Genomic DNA, 19017 nt, shown 5'->3' with positions numbered 1-19017 from the left:
TGGCTGAGCTATTGTTTGGCTTCTTGTGTGCATTTTGCACATGCCCCGAGATCCAACAGATGACAGTCAGTGTTCAATTGTGCCACCAGCACCTTTTCTTTCAACAAGATTTCTTTGCTCATCCCTTTCTGCTCAGCTTTTGTAGTACTGAAACTTTTCTCACAATGGGGATGGGGCAGATTTTCCCTCCGGCATGTGTATTATCTTTTGCATAAATAATTTACTGTGAATGTGTAAGTCTCCCTCTGTGCTAGATTTTGGGAGAATAAAGAGTTGTCTAAAACTGTGGTTCTCTAAGTGGGGTCCTAAGAACAGCAGCATCAGTATCACCTGAGTACTTGTTAGAAATGCAAATTATCGGCTCCGACTCAGACCTCCGGAATCAGGAACTCTGGGGGTGAGGCCCAGCCAGCTGAGCTTCAGCAACTCCTGATGCCCTCCAAAGCTTGAGAACCACTGGTTTAAAACATACTGTCAGCCGTCTAGGAGTTTACAGTTTAACTAAAGAGTTAGACATAAGTAAAAAGGTAGATAGCAGTGTAATATTTAAGTCAAGCTAGTCAATGCCCAATGTCAGTTTAAGTATAAAATGGGTACTAACTACAGGCTATTTGCTGTTGGACCAGGTGTTAAGCACTCTGCGCTATTTCACTTTACATAGGGCAACCCTGCGAGACAAGAATTATACAAGTGAGGAAATAAGAGGAGAGATATCTGTTTCGGGCGCCTTTATGGAGCAGGCAGCAGGAATGGCTTATTCTCTGTCAGACACAGGAGACAGAGTGCCCAGGGCCCATGATACTTTAAGGAGCCCATGAGAATATTTTCTTTTATAGTCAGAAGAAAAAATTATTATACTTTCAAGTGGATTTGTCTTTATACCAACAAAGTTATAAAATAAATTTTTAAAAAATGTTTTAATGACAGAAGGGGCTTATGAAGGCACTCCTCAAGGGGCTTATGAAAGTCACTAAAGGAAAGGTCATAATTTGGAAAGGCAAAGAAGAGGGTAAGAAGCTAGCTGAGTGAACTGGGATGAATACTATGAAGGAAGCCATGGGGACAGGAAGGTAATCACAGAAGCAAAACAATGAGATAGCTGTGGTTTCCCAAACAAAAACCTGGAAACATCTTCTGACACATAATCTGATCATAGAACAGAAGATCCAAAATCAAGACCATTCTGCAAAAAAGAAAATTAAGAAAGCCTCTTCTTAAATAGAAATAGGTTCATAGTATGTGCAATATGACTCACCAGCTGCAAATCAGCTTCTTCCCTCCCCTCCTTCAGCCTCAGCCTCTCTTAGCTGCCAAACTGTTTTGAGAGCTGCAAGCCACATTTTGAAAATCTGAGAAAGCATGAGAAAAATGCCTTTTCTCCTCATATGCCACCTACTGACTCTTGTTAACAAAACTTGTTACTAGGGCTGAAAGATAACCTCTCTCCCTTGAGATTTGCAGCACTGCATTCATGTTCCCTAGGATCAATCTTTCCAGAATCCTTTGCCAACACCTTGGTCATCCTCCAGCTATAGACCTGTCCAGCAGGGGATCAAATACCAGTTCCCCAAGACAGTGATGGATGTGCCTGATCTTTCCTACATAGTCACAAAGAACATTTGCAGGGTAATCTGTAGCACACAGACCTTTCTTAAAAGGAAGAAACATTTAGCTGTTTATTTTAAAGAAAGCATGATTGGAAGAATGATGTGTGAAGAAAGGGGTAATTTGGTTACATGTTAGGGTTTTTCAGAAAAACAGAACAAATAGGAGATATCTGTATTTAGATCTCCATCTTGCTATCTAGCTAGCTACTGAGAGAATTTTAAGGAATTGGCTCATGCGATTATGGGGGCTGGCAAGTCTGAAGTCTATAGGGCAAGCTGGCAGCCTGGAAACTCAAGGAAGAGTCAGCATTGCAGTCGTGAATGTGAGTTCTGCAGGGCTGCAGGCTGGAAATGCAGGCAGGTTTCTGGGCTGCAGTCTTCAGGAGAATTCCTTCTTCTTCAGGAAACTTCAGACTTTGCTATTAAGACCTTTATCTGATTGGATGAAGGCCCCCTCACATTATGGAAGGTAATTTGCTTTACTCAAAGTCTGCCTATTTCAATGTTAATCACATCTAAAAAAATACTTTTACAACAACATCTAAACTGGTGTCTGACCAAATAACTGGGCACCATAGCCTAGCCAAGTCGAAACATAAACATTAACTATCACAGGTTATAGTAAAAAATCTGATCTATATGTTAAACAAGGATTAAGTCATTAAAATTTTAAAAGTCACTATCTGAATTATATGAAAATGTGATAATCGATATATAGATATATTGGCTTTCCATAGATATGAGCAAGGAAATAATGTGCAAGGGAATTTTAAAAAATCATTTCCAAGAGGATTGAGAAAAGGGATGATATTCAACTGATGAATCTTTTGGAGATACAGGCAGCCATGGGGGATGGAGGGAGGGGGTGGGGGTGGGGTGGGGAAGGAGAAGAGAGGAAATCGTTGTGTCATGTACTTTTGAAACAGTATTGAGACATCACCTGACCCTCATACTTGTGGAGCTGTATCTTGTTTCCTAGCTCTGTGAGGTGAGGTATTCAGTATTCCCTGAAATAAAGATGACCTTCGAACACAGTGTATTTGGTTCTATGGTGATCTGTCTGCATCTTTTCTTTTTAAATTAGTAATTTTCACCTTTTTTCATGTCTGATAACATTGTAGAAAAGAATTTATCTTTCTGCTTATGAGTGACACCGTGAGATCTTTTTGTTTTTCGTGAAGTCAGACTTTTTCTGTCTATGACTTATGGTTGGGGAGTTTAGTACATTGGGTCTTTTATCCACGTGAATGTTGAAAATGAGAAATAGATTTTAAAAATCAGTTGACTCTTTCTCTCAGTGTTGGATAATGGGAACCCTGAGAAACATCAGGCAGACCAAGCTGTACCCCAGTTCTGAACATTTGCCGTTTCTCAGAGGTGAGTTGATGCTCTCTAAACTCCAGTGCGCCCTTGCCTATTCACCATTTTTGGGCTTTGCCCTGTACCAAACCTGGAAGAACAAACTTAGCACTGACTCTGTGTTCATTTATTTTTGTAATTATATTTGATCTGTTGGTGTGGTATGTTGGTGAGTTGGTGGTGATAAGTATCATTAAAAGTCCTTTGCCGGGCACGGTGGCTCACGCCTGTAATCTCAGCACTTCGGGAGGCCAAAGCGGGTGGATCACCTGAGGTCACGAGTTTGAGACCAGCCTAGCCAACACGGCAAAACCCCGTCTGTACTAAAAATACAAAAATTAGCCAGGCATGGTGGCACACGCCTGTAATCCCAGCTACTCGGGAGGCTGAGGCAAGAGAATCGCTTGAACCCAGGAGGCGGAGGTTGCAGTGAGCCGAGATCACACCACTTCATTCCAGCCTGGGTGAAAGACCAAAACTTTGTCAAAAAAAAAAAAAAATCCTTTACATTTGCAGTTTAATTCAGGACTTAGTCTCTTTCCTTCATTTCCTTCTTCTCTCTTGCTTTCTCTCTCTGTCATGCCCTCCACCCACTTCTACATTTCTGGCCAGCCCTACCCAGAGCAGACTTTCCATAGTAAGTGCTTGCAGACTGACAAATAGATTATTTTCTTTGGTCCACCCAAATGACACTTGAGATAGACAGGGCAAGTGTTCCTCTCCCCATTTCCCAGCCAGATGAGCAAACTGACTTAACACATGAACTGCTTCATGTCATCCAGAAATGAGAAAGTGGTGAGGTTAGGACCTAAATTTAAGTCTTCTCTGTCTAGCCCAGTGGTTGTCAATGAAACACAGCTGCCCAAACAAGCATTTCTCTTGAGCTGCTTCTATAGGTTGATGTTTTCATTCCTGTTCTCCCGTTATCTCGTTGAAAGGCACATAAAGTGTAACAGGAGATATTTTGAGACAGACTGAGCCAGAACCCATGCCTGACTCCTCAGACTGTCTTGTGACCTACTGGGCTTTTTTGATACCTGAGTAAATATTTGCTCCCACGGTGGATCTGTGAGTGCTTGTGCCATGTCAGTGGGCTGCTCCCCATCTGTGGTGTGTGGGACCAACTCGAGTGGTTGGAGGCCAGAGGGAAGGGAGAGCATCAAAGCCCCTCAATGTTCATTTACGTTTTCCAAATATTTATAGGTGTGGTATTTTGTGGTGAGGGATTTTACAGCCAGAGAGAGCCACAAGTGCCAAGATGAGGTGGTGCAACTCTGTTTCCCCGTGGGAGGAACGCCCACAAAGGAGTCCATTTGTGTTGTATTGGCTTCTAGTTTGAGGAAAAACCCAAGGTGCTTCTCTGGCTGGAAACTTGAAACATCACAACTAGTGGCATTGCTTGCTTTAGGGGGAAAAAAATCTCTATGAAAATTGCTGGTATTTGAGGAAGACAAGAAGCCATGACTTTCGAAAGCAGGGTATATTCGCATATCAGGGGCACAGCAAGAAAGTGATGACACATTCAAATTAGGAAAATTTGAGAGATTTAATAAAGAGAGTATTTACGAAGATGGAGGCAAAGTGTGAGGAACTCACAAGGAATAGTGCGTAGCCCAAGAACAGGAGCAGTACGGCTGTTATTCTTCCTAGACCCCAGGAGTGGGGAGACAGAGTGATGACCAGAACCCAGAAAGACTATTTCAGGTAGAAAAGGCCACCCTGAAAGGCATAGTGACCTAGTGTGAGGGACACGGCCAGCGGGAGGCACTCCCGCCTCTTCCCCCGCATCTCCCACCAGGGATCCTCACTGGTCAAAACCTAGTGGAGGCTGGGCGTGGCGCCTCATGCCTGTAATCCCAGCATTTTGGGAGGCCAAGGCGGGCAGATCACTTGAGGTCAGGAGTTTGAGACCATCCTGGCCAACATGGAGAAACCCCGTCTCTACTAAAAATACAAAAATTAGCTGGGTGTGGTGGCGGGCACCTGTAGTCCCAGCTACTCGGGAGACTGAGGCATGAGAATGACTTGAACCTGGGTGGGGGAGGTTGCAGTGAGCCGAGATCATGCCATTGCACTCCAGCCTGGATAACAAACAAACAAACAAACAAAAAACCTAGTGGAAGTCGGAGGGTGAGGGAGGCTTGGGGCAGAAAGCAAAATGGAGAAAGTAGGAGAGTAGAGCTGACGAAGCAAACAGAAGCTGTTCAGTGCAGCTAGCCGAATTGGAGAGTGGTGGACCTCAGCCTCTGAAAACTGTCCTGAGATGTTCCTGTGCACGATTAGTTAACTGTTTCTCCAGTACATTGGAGGATCAGTTTCTGAGATCTATGTAAGAGTTCTTCAGGAACAAAGGCTATCAAAAAGTCAGTGCAGGATTGGGTAACCCTTTGTAGAAGTCCAAGCTGCCGGTTCTGAACCAGCAGGGAATACTTGCTGACGTCGGAGACATTTTGGTTGTCACAACTGGGGTGGGTACTGCTGTCATCTAATGGGCAGAGGCCAGGGATGCAGTTACATATCCTACAGTGCACAGGAGTGCCCCCCGCCACACAGGGTTATCCAGCCCCAAATGTCAACACTGCCAGTGTCGAGAACTCTGCTCCATCTCTCTGCCTTATTTTATTGCTACTACTTTTTTTTTTCCATCTGAAAAGATCTTCTATTTACTTATTTATTTAATTGATTCTGTTGCATCTGTCTCCACCTATGAGAGTATAACCCCCAAGAAAGCAGGAGTTTGGTTTGTCTTGTTCATCACGGTACCCCTGTTGCTTAGAATAGCACCTGCCACATGTTAGACACCCCATAAATAGGCCTGATTGAATGAATAGAAAAGAAAGGGTAGTTTGCTCAACATAATTTGCTTCTAATGACACTGTGATAATTTCTGGCATTTGTTGCTTCTTTTCCCAAGGGAGATGTGCTAGTTTTAGTTTGGAAGGAATATGCATCTTTCTTTTCTCAAGTTACCAAATCCATCTTTTTCCTTCTTTTGTAATTTGAGGCCATAGTTACCCATTTTCAGTGTTCCCATGCCTTTCTTGTTCATTACAGTTCCTCCAAGATTCTTTCAGCCTTTCAGTTTTCTTAGAGTTTTGTTAGTCACTCATCCTCATGGGGAGAAAATAGGTGTGTCTGTTCAATTTTCCTTCTTGGTCATCTGTTGCCTATACCATGGGTATTATAATCTCTTCACCTTGAAATAACTTCTCCTGGCTGGGCGCGCTGGCTTATGCCTGTAATCCCAGCACTTTGCAAGGCTGAGTCGGGCAGATCACGTGAGGTGAGGAGTTCGAGACCAGCCTGACCAACATGGTGAAATCCCATCTCTTCTAAAAATACAAAAAAATTAGCCAGGCGTGGTGGCACACACCTGTAATCCCAGCTACTTGGGAGGCTGAGGCAGGAGAATTGCTTGAACCTGGGAGATGGAGATCGCAGTGGGCTGAGATTGTACCACTGCACTTCAGCCCAGGTGAACGAGTGAGACCATCTCAAATAATAATAATAATAACTTTTTTTATTAGAGAGGAACATGGTTTTATTTAATTAGTCATCTATTATACCATCAACTCAAGCAGCTGTTGATAATATGTAATCTTCAAAGACCTTTTTATATTTATTTTTTAAACTTCCATTTATTAAATAATAATTTAAAAGTATTAATTAGGCTCTCAGAGAATAACTAAAACTCCACTGGAGAATTTGACATCTACGTGCCCTTTTTTTCAACATAATAGAATGCTATTTACTGCAGTTAAGCAGTAATTCTTATTTAAAAAAAATTTTTTTTAACTGCCTTTGTATAATGAATAAAATAATGCATTTCCTCAAATGCCCAGCATACTCTGAGTTAGGACTGTTTTGCCCTGGCACAATCTGTGAGAACATCTTGCAAGACAAAAAGGAGTATTACTGGTGATAACCTATGTCCCACATTTCCATTTAATGAAGTATTACTTAAAATGTTTTTAAGGTATCTATGATTGGCCTGATGACAATAACTTAATCACTGTGCCTGGCCAACTGCTAAGTTCCAAAACAGATATTATTATTTAAAACAGAATTAGGCCGGATGTGGTGGCTCACACCTGTAATCCCAGCGCTTTGGGAGGCCAAGGTGAGAGGATCACCTGAGGCCAGGAGTTCAAAACCAGCCTGGCCAATATGGTGAAACCCTGTCTCTACTAAAAATACAAAAATTAGTTGGGCATGGTGACACATGCCTGGAATCCCAGCTACTCAGGAAGCTGAGGCTGGAGAATCATTTGAACTTGGGAGGCAGAGGTTGCAGTGAACCGAGATCTCACCACTGCACTCCAGCCTGGGCGAACCTGGGCAACAGAGCTAGGCTCCGTCTCAAAAAAAAAACGAAACAAAACAAATAAAACAGAATTAGTTACAGTGTCTGTTCTGTAGCCTTCAGTTGCTGCCTTTCCCAAATGGGGAAGGAAGCCCCTTCTAATGAGCCAGCACTTCTTAAAGACAAGATCCCCATTTTCAGCCTTTGCCCTGGGCAGACATTCCCAAGATACAACCAGCTCCGAAGTTATTTTTTCTCCCCTAATGATTTGGGAAAATTCACCCATGCTTTTGCTGAACCTCTGACAGCCAGTGACCCTGCAAAGTGACACCTTCCTGTGGGCCCCACCCCCGTCTCCTTCATAGCTGAAAGATACATGGCACGTGAGAAATTATTTCATGACTATTCATAATTATGAAGAATTTTGTAGGCTTTTAGTTTAAATAAAGATAGAAAATTTGCACCTTCTTCATCTACTCCCTTTCTTACCATAAGAATAGGAGCTAAGGCCGGGCGCAGTGGCTCACGCCTGTAATCCCAGCACTTTGAGAGGCCAAGGCGGGTGGATCACGAGGTCAGGAGTTCAAGACCAGTCTCACCAATATGATGAAACCCCGTCTCCACTAAAAATACAAAAATTAGCTGGGCGTGGTGGTGCACGCCTGTGGTCCCAGCTACTCAGGAGGCTGAGGCAGGAGAATCGATTGAACCTGGGAGGCAGAGGTTGCAGTGAGCTGACATCACACCACGGCACTCCAGCCTGGGCAATGGTGCAAGACTCCGTCTCCAAAAAAAAAAAAAAAAAAAAAGAGTAGGTGCTAACATCTCTTAAGCACCTACCCTGGTGGTCATCTGCTGAGTAATTCACTTTCCCATTCCATTAGAGTTAGGTCAATTGGAGATTACCTAAAATTGCCCATCCCCCTATTCTGCCATGGTCCCCTCCTCACCTGCCCCCCCCATCAAAAAAAGAAAAAGATTATGTAACATTGGATATTTAGTTATTTCCCAAATTGACATTTTGCTAGAAGTCTTTGGTTTATCTGATAATATATATTTTTTGAAGATCATACAAATAAACACATGCCTTTCTATTTTGTAAACATTTCATTAATACTTTGTTTGCCTTAATTGTGTCAATATATCTGCTGGCATTTTTAGAATTAATAATAGTAGTAGTAGCTAACATGTACTGTGAGTTTATTTTAACCCAGAGTCTCTACATAGGTTATCTTACCTTTTTTTTTTTTGGAGGGGGGGAGGGGGTGGAGGGAGTCTCACTCTGTTGCCAGCGCTGGAGTGTGGAATGCAGCGATGCAATCTCGGCTCACTGCAACCTCCATCTCCTGGGTTCAAGATTCTCCTGCCTTAGCCTCCTGAGTAGCTGGGACTCCAGGCACGTGCCACCACACCCGGCTATCTTACCATTTTTAAAGAACATCATGATTACTGTCCATTCTGTAAATGAGCAGTCTTAAGGTGCCATGAGGTTTAGTAACGTCCACACTTGCTAATAAGTGGTAGAAATCAGCTTTGAACTTGGCCTTGTGACTGCAGGGTCCACAGGTTAACTTCCACACCCCTTTTTCTCCCAGTCGCTGAAGTCGTACTGATCTTAGACAAGCATCCTAACTTTCTCTAGGACCGAAGCTGGACTTCCTTATGAATCCTGCTATGCTTCCACAGTCCATTTTATTATGATCTTAACCATTGTTCATTCAATGAAAATAATTACATTGCTGTCATATAGGTATGTGCTGTGAAACTACAGGATTTTTTTTTAAAAAGAGGTTTCAAGAGAACTAAATTCCTTACAACTTGTGCTTTGAGCCCATTCACATCCAGTCTCACTCGGGAGCAGGAGTAGCAGCAGTTTTCCTCAACTGACATAAAAATTAAAGAGCATTTTTGACTCCACAACGTGGGTGAAAGGGTATCGTATATTCCCAAATGAAACTCAGCACAGCCCCAGCTGTGCCCCCTAGCCACAGCGGCTGCATGGGGAGATCTGGGAGGCAGGTGATCATCCTTATTTAGATGTGCCAGAGATCATGTGACCAGAAAATGGAGGCGAATCTGTATTTCCAGTTAACTGCTCAGAAGAGAGATGCTGAAGAGCTGTAGTCGTGCATCCTTCTCACCCTCCGTTAGAAAGCCTCCTCTCATCCTCAGAAGGTAGGTGGGTCCTGGTGTAGCTTTTAGGAGATCGGTACGGGAAGGACAGAATGAGATGGAGAGTGTTGTTCTCAAAGACTAATCTCTTGCTGCTGGGAAGTTGGCGGGGGAGACGGGAGGGGGATGAGAGGATGCCGAATTCTGCCCAGCCCCTTGCAACTGACAGCTGCCAGCTGCATTTTATTCCGTATCCACTCATCCTAGAAAAGCTTGTGGTCGTTATGCTGTCCCCGCCCCTTTCTTGGCTATCAGGTAATCAGGAAACAGACTTTGCACAGCTGTAATCATTTTGTTTTCCTTTATATTTATGATGAAAATGGAGAGAGAAAAATAAAAGGAAGTGACAGATTTGAAACTGTTTGGGACTATTGCCTAATGAGAAATATAATGTCTCTTTGGATTATTTGACAAGCAGGACAGCTCTGGTAGAGAGGCATTTTTTAAATGTTATTACTAATTGCTATTGAAGCTAGTGCATCTGTTTTTCTAAAGAATCTTGTAACCTTTAAGTCTTACCTGAGTTTTAAGCTGCAGAAATAGGTCATCCTCAAACATGGGCTTATGTTGTTCCCTTTGTCTTTTCAAAATCAAGAAAGAATACTCTACTGAAAGGATATCAGTATTTCACTGAGAAACTAAGTTATGTGAGAAAGTAAAAAAATTACTACCTGGTCAGTTTCAACCAGGAATACACAGGTTATTAAATTTCTGTGTGGTAACTAGAAAACAACGGTAGACTCTTACCTAGTAGAAGTGATTTAAAGTGTGACTCTGCCAGAGATCAGGGTACTGGCCATGTGGATGAAAGGGAAAGGGGGCATAATCTCCATCCACTGCCCCCTCTTTGATGTGAACTGTTGACATGGTTTGATCTTATGTAAGCTGCTATGTGAGTGCAGCTTCCAGGACCACTTACAGCCAGATGGCTGCCCTGCGCCCCTCCTGTAGAGAAAATGGGAGCGGCTCCTGCATGAGTCTATTCCAAAATCTTCATCTGATGAAAGTTTTCTTAGAATCATAACAGATAATATGCACGGAATGTAAAATCTGGAATAATTAGATTACGATGCCTGGCAATCAAAAAAATGACCCATGGAATTGCTCTTAATTGCTAAGAGAAACTTCCTATCTGGGAGGTAAAATAAAACAAAACGGCTTTTATGGAAATGTCTCTATGGGCAAATTAAACATTTTTAGGGTACTGAAAGCTCAGTACTCTAAAATGGTGTGGACCTTGTTCCCCAACTCAGAACAACAAGATGAGGTTATTGTCATTGGAAGTCAGCAGCACCTAAACATCCCTGTGAGATGTAGCTTTGTAATGCAAAGTTACCCTTTATGTCCTAAATAAGGTTTAATGCCTCATAGATACTTGAGGATAGTGAGCCAGATTCTCCTTCCTATTAACAAGAAGTCAAATTAACTTTTTTTCCCCAATGGTTAGTGCTCTCTTTGGTACATCCCAGTGAACTTCTATTTACATTCCACTTGGTTTCTCAATCTTGAGTGGCTTTGTACTCCTGGGAAGATTATCTCTCCAATAAGAGATCACAGTACTTTCTTGAGTTTTTAACTTCACCCTTTCTAGCTAGAGGACAAGGTGCAGGGTTTGCACATAGGTTCAGGTACCTGATATAGGTTACAGTGCAAAAGCTTAGGTTTATCTACAGCAAATAAAAGCTGGGTTTTTTTCCTACTTAACTAGCCTGGAATTGCTTGCCCTCTGTTTGCTATTGTCAAGATTTTGCAGGCAGAGGCTTTACATGAACCAAGTTCCTGCCAGAGTAGTATTTGTATCTGGGATGGTTTCTCAATTCCTTACCAATCCAAGTTAAGGGTAATTGGTAGTTGGGGGAAGGAAGAAGGGGCGAGAAAGGGCAGAAGGAAAAGTAGAGAAGGACAGATTCTGTCCCCTGGTATCTTGTCTGCCAGGTTGACAAAGAACATGGCTCCTTCTGGATTAATCCTGGCAGGAATCATGAGATGCTTGTGGATAGGTTTATCACTATGTTGCTCAGGCTAGTCTGAAACTTCTGGCCCCATAAGAGGGGCATTGGAGAAGAAGCTGGAGTAGATGCCCTTCATTTGAGCACTCTTTTCCTTAGAGGGCTGTTGCCAAGGTTGGCTCTATCTTGTTCTGATAGCTGCCTATTTGCCTGCTATTTTGATAGTTGTTTGATTCCTTGTATTGTTCTTGAATCCTGAAATTCAACTGCTAAAGTAATAGAAGCTGAACTAAATTTTAGAATTCATTTGGATTCACTTCTTGAGTTTACAGGCAGAAAATGAGTCCTAGTTAGAGTGAGTGATTGTCTTAAGATCACCCAATCAGTGGCTTGGCTGGGATCAGAACTCAGGGGTCTTAGCTCTGGACCTTGTGCTACTTCCTGTCATCCCAGGGCCTTTGAGAAAAAAATCTTGGTGCGGTATCTCATGGCTGCAATCCCAGCACTTTGGGAGGCTGAGGCAGGAGGATCACTTGAGACCAGAAGTTTGAGACCAGCCTGAGCTGGTCTCTATAGAGACCCTGTCTCTATAGAAAATTTTAAAATTAGCTGAATGTGGTGGCATGCACCTGTAGTTCCAGCTGCTTGGGAGGCTGAGGCAGGAGGATGCCTTGAGCCCAGGAGGTTGAGGCTGCAGTGAGCTATGATCATGCCACTGCACTCCAGCCTGGGTGACAGAGCAAGAATCTGTCTCAAAAAAAGAAAAGAAATCTAGTCCATGCGTTAACATTTTTCATGGCTTAAAAATAAATCTACCACTCTTCTATTTTTAGGATAAGGTGGCATTTCCTAATTCATTTACAACCCTTAAACTCATATGCATTTGGGGAAAATGAAACAACTCTACTGTCAGAACTTGAGTGTTTATTATTAACAGGATGCTATCCCTAAGAAATGCATATGATACAAAGGTAACTAAGGTGCAGTCTCTCCTCACTCTAGTGTGGGGAGGAGAGAGTAAAATAAATGGCTGTGAAGGACAGAGTGAAATCAATTCCATAAGAGATTACACAACGGTGGGGCTCTGGGTGCTTAAAGGTCAGAAAGTGTTGCTTCATTTCCTTTGTTGTAGAGTGGCTACCACAGGATTCATGGATGAGGTAGATTTCAATAGGTTGGGAGAAGGAACACTGCAGCTGGAGGGAATATAATAAACCCAGCTATGGAGTCAGGAGAGCTATCGGTTGGAGTTGGGAGACTTAAGAGAATCTCATTTTGCCTAAAAGGTAGAGCAGCTGGAGAAGCTAAGGATGGATTATTCTAAATGGTTAAGAGGCCCTGAGGCTGCAACAAGGAAGTCTGTATTCAGTGTTTTTTGTCAGCAATGGAAAGCTGATGTTTCTTGAGCTGGGTATTGTGATTGCAATAGACTGGCAATGATGCAAGAGAAATGGGAGGGCAGATGGGAAGTGGCAATCCACCTGAGACTGGAAGTCAAGGCTGGAACTGTTCCTGGGATGGAAAGAAGGGAGGTAGTTTTAGAACTGCAGACACGGAAGAAAGCTAGAGGGCATGAAAATTGAGGAAGATGAGAACCTACTGGGGAGGTGCCCACAGAAGAATTGGCAAGCCCTGTGAAAGGTCATCATTTCATTCTTCGTGTCTGAGAACCTGCAGCCTTGGTGAGTTACTTGATATAAGTTCATATAAGCAAGCAAAGAAAGCACAAAACTCTCTCCTCAATGGAACAAGACAGAGCCGACTTGGGCAGCAACACTTACTGCAAGTGAAAAACCACATCTGATTCATCAGCCTTAGGTCATGGTCCTGGTGTTGGACAATGGTCTCTATGACTACACTTTCTTTGTTGCCAAGAGGGCAGGTCTGCAGACCTCTGTATCTACTGAGGTGTACCTATTGGGATGGGGTGTGAAGAGGATGGTGACGTTTTCCTCTGGTCAGGCTCTTACTTCCTGGGCAGTTGCTATAGAAAGAGAACACCCAGCTTCAGGGCAGGGGTGAGGCCAAATGTTGTCTGTGACAAGCTCCAAGGAGATTCTGACTCATAGGTTGCAAGAACAGAATGAGTCTTGATTGTGGGCTCAGGAACTGAGGAGAAAGTGGGAAGAAAAAGAACAGGAGAGTTCAGATATAATCTATCCTCATTGCCTCCCTGGCTTACTAACGGGCCAGATACCACCTTTTATTGGAGGCTTCTAGATTGCTCTACTCTACCCCCGCATCTGGAGGAACTGCTGCTATCTCTGAAATTCGTGTAGGACTCTCATGTCTTTTAGCCCCTCCTGTGCTGTTTTGTGTGAACCTGTATGTGTCTTTTCCTCTTTATCCTCCTAGATTTTAAATTCTCTGAGAGCAGAATGTGTCTCTGATCCATTCTTTTTGTAATACAGCCTCCCCCGAGGCTAACACTTTCCATATGGCTCTAGGACTCAAATGTTTGTTGAACTCCTACCGGAATGAATGGCCTGAGAAACAAACAGTGAGTATCAGAAAGAAGCTACAACTGTCAAAGCTTGTGGCAGTCTGCTTTGGAAACCCTAGGCAGATTACTAGAACAATCTTGATATGGTTTTACCTGGAGAGAGAGAGCATTCAATATCCCTTCCAATCCAAAAATTGAAAACCAAACACATGCTTTCAATATTGCCCTGAAAAGCAGGATTTAGTGCTGCTCAAACCCAAGATGAAAGTCCCATTCATAAAGCCACCATTGCCCACCAGTGTTACCCCTTAACAATTATATTTTTCTACATCCAGTTCCCAGAAATATCCAGGAAAGGTTGATGAAATTGGATGTTCTAAAAATAGTTCTTCCTAAAATAAAATAGGAGTGAAACCAACATAGTGTGATCCCAAGAGAGCAGCTGAGCATGAGGTAGGTAAGGAGGACACAGGTAAAATGGAGATGAAAGGAGAGCTAGAGACTGTTTATCTATAGAAAGGTCAGTAGAGATCATTGAAAGAAAGCAAATGTGGGATGGAGTTGAGCCTCATTCCCGGGCTGGCCATGGGGAAGTTTTCCTTGTACATTAGACTAAGTTCAGATGTAATCAAGGCTCATGGCTGGGCTGGGTGCGGTGGCTCATGCCTGTAGTCCTGACACTTTGGGAGGCCAAGGTGGGAGGATCACTCGAGGCCAGGAGTTTGACCCCAGGCTGGGCAACACAGTGAGACCCCATCTCTATGAAAAAATTTTCAAAAAATGCCTTAGCCAGCTGTGGTAGCTCACACCTGTGGTCCCACTTACTCAGGAGGCGAAGATGGGAGGATCTCCTGAGGCCAAGAGTTTGAGACCAGCCTAGGCAACATAGTGAGACACCATCTCTACCAAAAAACTTTTTTTAAAAACTTAGCTGGGCATGGTGGCACATACCTGTGGTCCCATCTACTCTGGAGACAAAGTGAGAGGATCTCTTGAGACCAGAAGTTCCAGACCAGCCTGGACAACACAGTCAGACCCTGACTCTACCAAAAATTTTTTTAAAACAGCCAGGCATGGTGGTGGATGCCTGTGGTCCCAACTACTTGGAGACTGTGGTGAGAGGATCACTTGAGCCTGGGAAGTCACGGCTGCAGTGAGCCGTGTTCATGCCACTGCACTCCTGCCTGGGTGACAGAGTGAGACCCTGTCACAAAAAAATAAAAACAAAAATAAAAACAAAAGAGCTCCTGTCTTTGCAATAAAGACAGAGATTGGATTTCCTATGATGAGTGTCTCACCAAGTTTTTTTATGTGCTTGCCATTAGCTGGATGAGTATATAGCTGGTATTGAGCTGTTATGTTTATTTTCCAGTACTTTCATCTATCAGCAGGGACCTGGTAACCCAAAAATGTGAGTGATGTATAAGACAGAGTCATGGAATCTCATGTAATGCTATAACTCTGTGAACAACAATTATTTAAAAGCATAAGCACATTTTCTTCCCTGAATATCTGTTTACATTTATACAGTGAAGACATAGAAATGAAAAAGAGATGGTTAAATGAATCAGTTCTCCCCAAGAGGTTGGCAGAGCCGTATGATTACTGAATGTATCCCTCAGGAGGGTATGAAATTAATCAAGTCTTATAATTAGCTTCATAGAATGTGATTATACTGTGCAGCAGGATACATGTAAGTAAGCGGGATGACCTCTTTCTCCCAGTGTCAAGGGGCCTAACTTAGGTTTCTCTCTCTCCCTGGAGATCTGTCAGGCAGCCATAGAAGGGCTTTCTAGCAGAGAAGATGAATGAAAGGACTGATATACTCCTTCCAGAGTCAAGAGTCTCCTCCTTGACACTGGATATACCGGTGAAGATCTGATACTTTATTGGTTTGCTAGGGCTGCTATAACAAAGTACCAAAGATGAGGTGGCTTAAACGGTAGACATTTATTTTCTCACAGTTGTGGAAATCTGAGATCAAGGTATTGCTAGAATTGGTTTCTTCTGAGGCCTCTCTCTCCTTAGCTTGCATATGGCTGTCTTCTCCCCATGTCTTCTGGTCTTCCGGTCTTCCCTCTGTGTGTGTTTGTGTCCAAATTTCCTCTTGCTATAAGGATGCCATTCATATTGAACTATGGCCCACCCGAATGACCTCATTTTCACTTAATTACTTCTGCAAAAACCCCATTTCCAAACACACACCTTGAGGTACTAAGGGTTAAGACTTCAACATAAGAATCTTGGAGGATGCAATTCCTCCCATAATAGATACCTTAGGAATGTGACAGCATATGTGCCAGGAATTCCTGATGGTCCTGTGATTGGTGACAGGCCCCCAACCCCATAAACCGTTTATTGTACTTCAGTGATGAGTCTCTGCATCCCTTCAGGGGGATCCATAACCTCCTTGGAGACCCAGAGTAAATATAGAAGGCTAAGTGTAACCCAGCATCTTCTAATAATATAATAGTAATATTAGATGTAATCATATAATAGAACTTTTGCCAAGCACTTTACTCATTATCTCTTTGAAATCTGTCCTCTCATTCCCATTTTGCAGATAAGGAAGCTGAGTCTTAAGAGAAGTCAGTAATTTTAGCACATTTACATGGTTAATAAGAGGCAGAAGTGGCCGGGCGCGGTGGCTCACGCCTGTAATCCCAGCACTTTGGGAGGCCGAGCAGGGTGGATCACTTGAGGTCAGGAGTTCAAGACCAGCCTGACCAACATGGTGAAACCCCGTCTCTACTAAAAATAGAAAAATTAGCCAGGCATGGTGGTGCACTCCTGTAATCCCAGCTACTCGGGAGGCTGATGCAGAAGAATTGCTTGAACTCGGGAGGTGGAGGTTTCAGTGAGCTGAGATTGTGCTACTGCACTCCAGCCTGGGCAACAGAGCGAGACTCCATCTCAAAAATAAATAAATAAGAGGCAGAAGTGGAGTGAGTCCCATTGACCCCCACCAGGGTAGATTGCCTCCCTGTTTGTGAGCATTGTTTTTCTTAAACTGGTGTGAAAGGCTAAGGAGAAATTTCTTGTGGGACAATGAGTATGAAGGGACCTGAAGAAGTCCATCAGCTTTACGCTGGATATCTAAGGAAGTCCAGAATCCTCAAAGAATATTGAAACCCTAAGTTAACCTGGAATTTTGCCACTGCGAAGAGGTAGCTAACTTAGATCTGTTAGACCCCAACCATTGGGAAAGTGGAGGAAATGAGACTGAGACAGGAAGGGAGCACAGGGACTCTGGAGCTGCCCTGGGGTTGAGTCTGCAGCTGACTCCTCCTCCTCTCCCTGCTCCCTTTGACTTGTCTCTGAGAAACCGTGCTGGGAGACAAACTAGCAGGCCAGGCAAACTCAAGCAGCTTTTTCAAAAAGTAGCCTCAGACTCGTAGATGTAGAGTAGAATGGTGGTTGCCAGAGACTGGAAAGCGGATGAAGGAAAGGGGAGTGATTGATCAAAGGGTACAAAATTTCAGTTAGATCTGAAGAATAAACTTTAGTGATCTGTTGTAGAGTGGTGACTATAATAAATAATCATGCATTGTATATTTCAAAATTACTAAAAATGTAGATTTTAAATGTTTTCACCACAAAAAACATAAGTATGTGAGGTGATGGATTTGTCAATTTTCTTAATCTAATCATTCTACAGTGTAAATATATGTCAAAACATCACATTGTATCCCATCAATATATATTCGTGTGTGTGTATATATGTGTATATATATATAATATGTACATATAATGTATACTATATATATTTTATGTATACACAAAAATATTCATGGGGTATGCAAATACATATGTGTATATATGTATATATACATACACAAATATAATTTATGGGGGCATAAATATATATATATAGATAAATACATGCACATATATGTTAGCATCAGGTTTCAGGGCCTGTCCCCTCCCATGATATTCTATGATATTCTTTCATTTGCATTCAGAATTAGAGGAGTGATAAACGAAATGCATTCATCCAACAAATATATGAAGGTGTGCCTAATTTCAGGGTTCATGACCCTGGCACTTCCTTTATATGGGAGTTAACCCTGTCTCTATAATCAAGAATATACCACATGTAAGCTTCCTGAGAACATACATATTTTTCCCAATCTGTTTTATCAGTGAGGTCATTTTGGGTGATGGGTGACAAAAACTCAACTTACCCTGCTTAGGTTAAAAAGAATATTAATTGGCTCATATTATGAAAACCTAAGAACTAATCTGGCTCTAGGAAGAAGTGAATAAGAAAGCTCCAACCACGCAGTCAATGTTTACCCATTTTTTTTCCTTCACTCATTGTCTCTGTTTCTTAATACAGTGGGTTCCTCTCTCCATAGGCCCTCAGGTTTACATTACAGTCAACTGCAATCCCCAGAGAAAGGCTTTCTTTTTCCCAGAGGTTTCAACAAAATCTGGGTTGAGTCTCCTTGGAAGAACTGGTGTCACGTGCTTATTCGTGGAACCAATCACTCTGGCAGGGGCGGGGACTCTGTTGATTGGTCAGTCCTGGGTCAGTTGCCTGTCTCTGACGGGAAAGGAAATTACCTTCATCCCTCAAACCCTGGGACTTAGTGTGATGCAGAAATTATTCCCCAAAGGGGAATAGAGGTGCTGTTATCAAAAGAAGAAAGAGTCTGGGGAGGACACTGGGCTAACTATTACATCTGAATACACTAAAAAATTTAATGGTCAGGAGAAGATGAAGAGAGGTCAATTAAAAGTACAGTTTGGTGGAAGAACTAAGCCCTAGTTTTTGCCAGATCATTAGAGTGACTATAGTTTAGAGTAATCTATTATATATTTTTAAAATAGTTAAAAGAAAAATTTGAATATTTTTTAGCATAAAGAATAGACAAATATTTCAAGTGATAGCCATCCCAAGTGATGCTGATTTGATCTTTACAAATTATATTAATGTATTAAATTATCACATGTACTCCCCAAAATATGTACATCTATTGTGTATCAATAAATAAAATAAAAAATTAATAGTGGGGCTGGGCACAGTGGCTCACGCCCATAATCCCAGCACTTTGGGAGGCTAAAGCAGGCAGATCACCTGAGGTCAGGAGTTCAAGACCAGCCTGACCACCATGGACATGGAGAAACTCCATCTTTACTAAAAATACAAAAAATTAGTCGGGCGGGGTGGCGCATACCTGT

General features: G+C 42.6%; 1 protein-coding gene across 42 annotated transcripts in view, besides 1 other annotated feature; it reads left to right on the top strand.

Moving 5' to 3' along the window:
• Nucleotides 1-19017, top strand: part of PRUNE2 (prune homolog 2 with BCH domain) — a 294739-nt gene that overhangs the window by 204597 nt on the left and 71125 nt on the right. For 7 of the 42 annotated variants that reach the window (NM_001308050.2, NM_001308051.2, XM_017014357.3 and 4 more), the window contains exon 1: nt 9321-9444. The exons of 34 other annotated variants lie outside the window; for them this stretch is intronic. In NM_001308050.2, the coding sequence (NP_001294979.1) occupies nt 9377-9444 (68 nt within the window). In that variant the 5' untranslated portion in view covers nt 9321-9376. Of the gene's footprint in view, nt 1-9320; nt 9445-13745; nt 13891-19017 lie in introns of those variants that run through there. One more of the 42 variants, NM_001308049.2, reaches the window with a different exon arrangement.
• Nucleotides 12505-13006: an enhancer, noted in NCBI's record as "NANOG hESC enhancer chr9:79303428-79303929 (GRCh37/hg19 assembly coordinates)". NCBI's record gives its function as "activates a minimal SCP1, AML or CMV promoter by ChIP-STARR-seq in naive H9 embryonic stem cells {active_cell/tissue: H9 hESC(naive)}" and the evidence as "EXISTENCE:reporter gene assay evidence [ECO:0000049][PMID:30033119]".

This window comes from Homo sapiens, chromosome 9 (genome assembly GCF_000001405.40).
Source record: "Homo sapiens chromosome 9, GRCh38.p14 Primary Assembly".
Classification (NCBI taxonomy): domain Eukaryota; kingdom Metazoa; phylum Chordata; class Mammalia; order Primates; family Hominidae; genus Homo; species Homo sapiens.
This window is presented reverse-complemented; position numbering and strand designations above follow the sequence as displayed.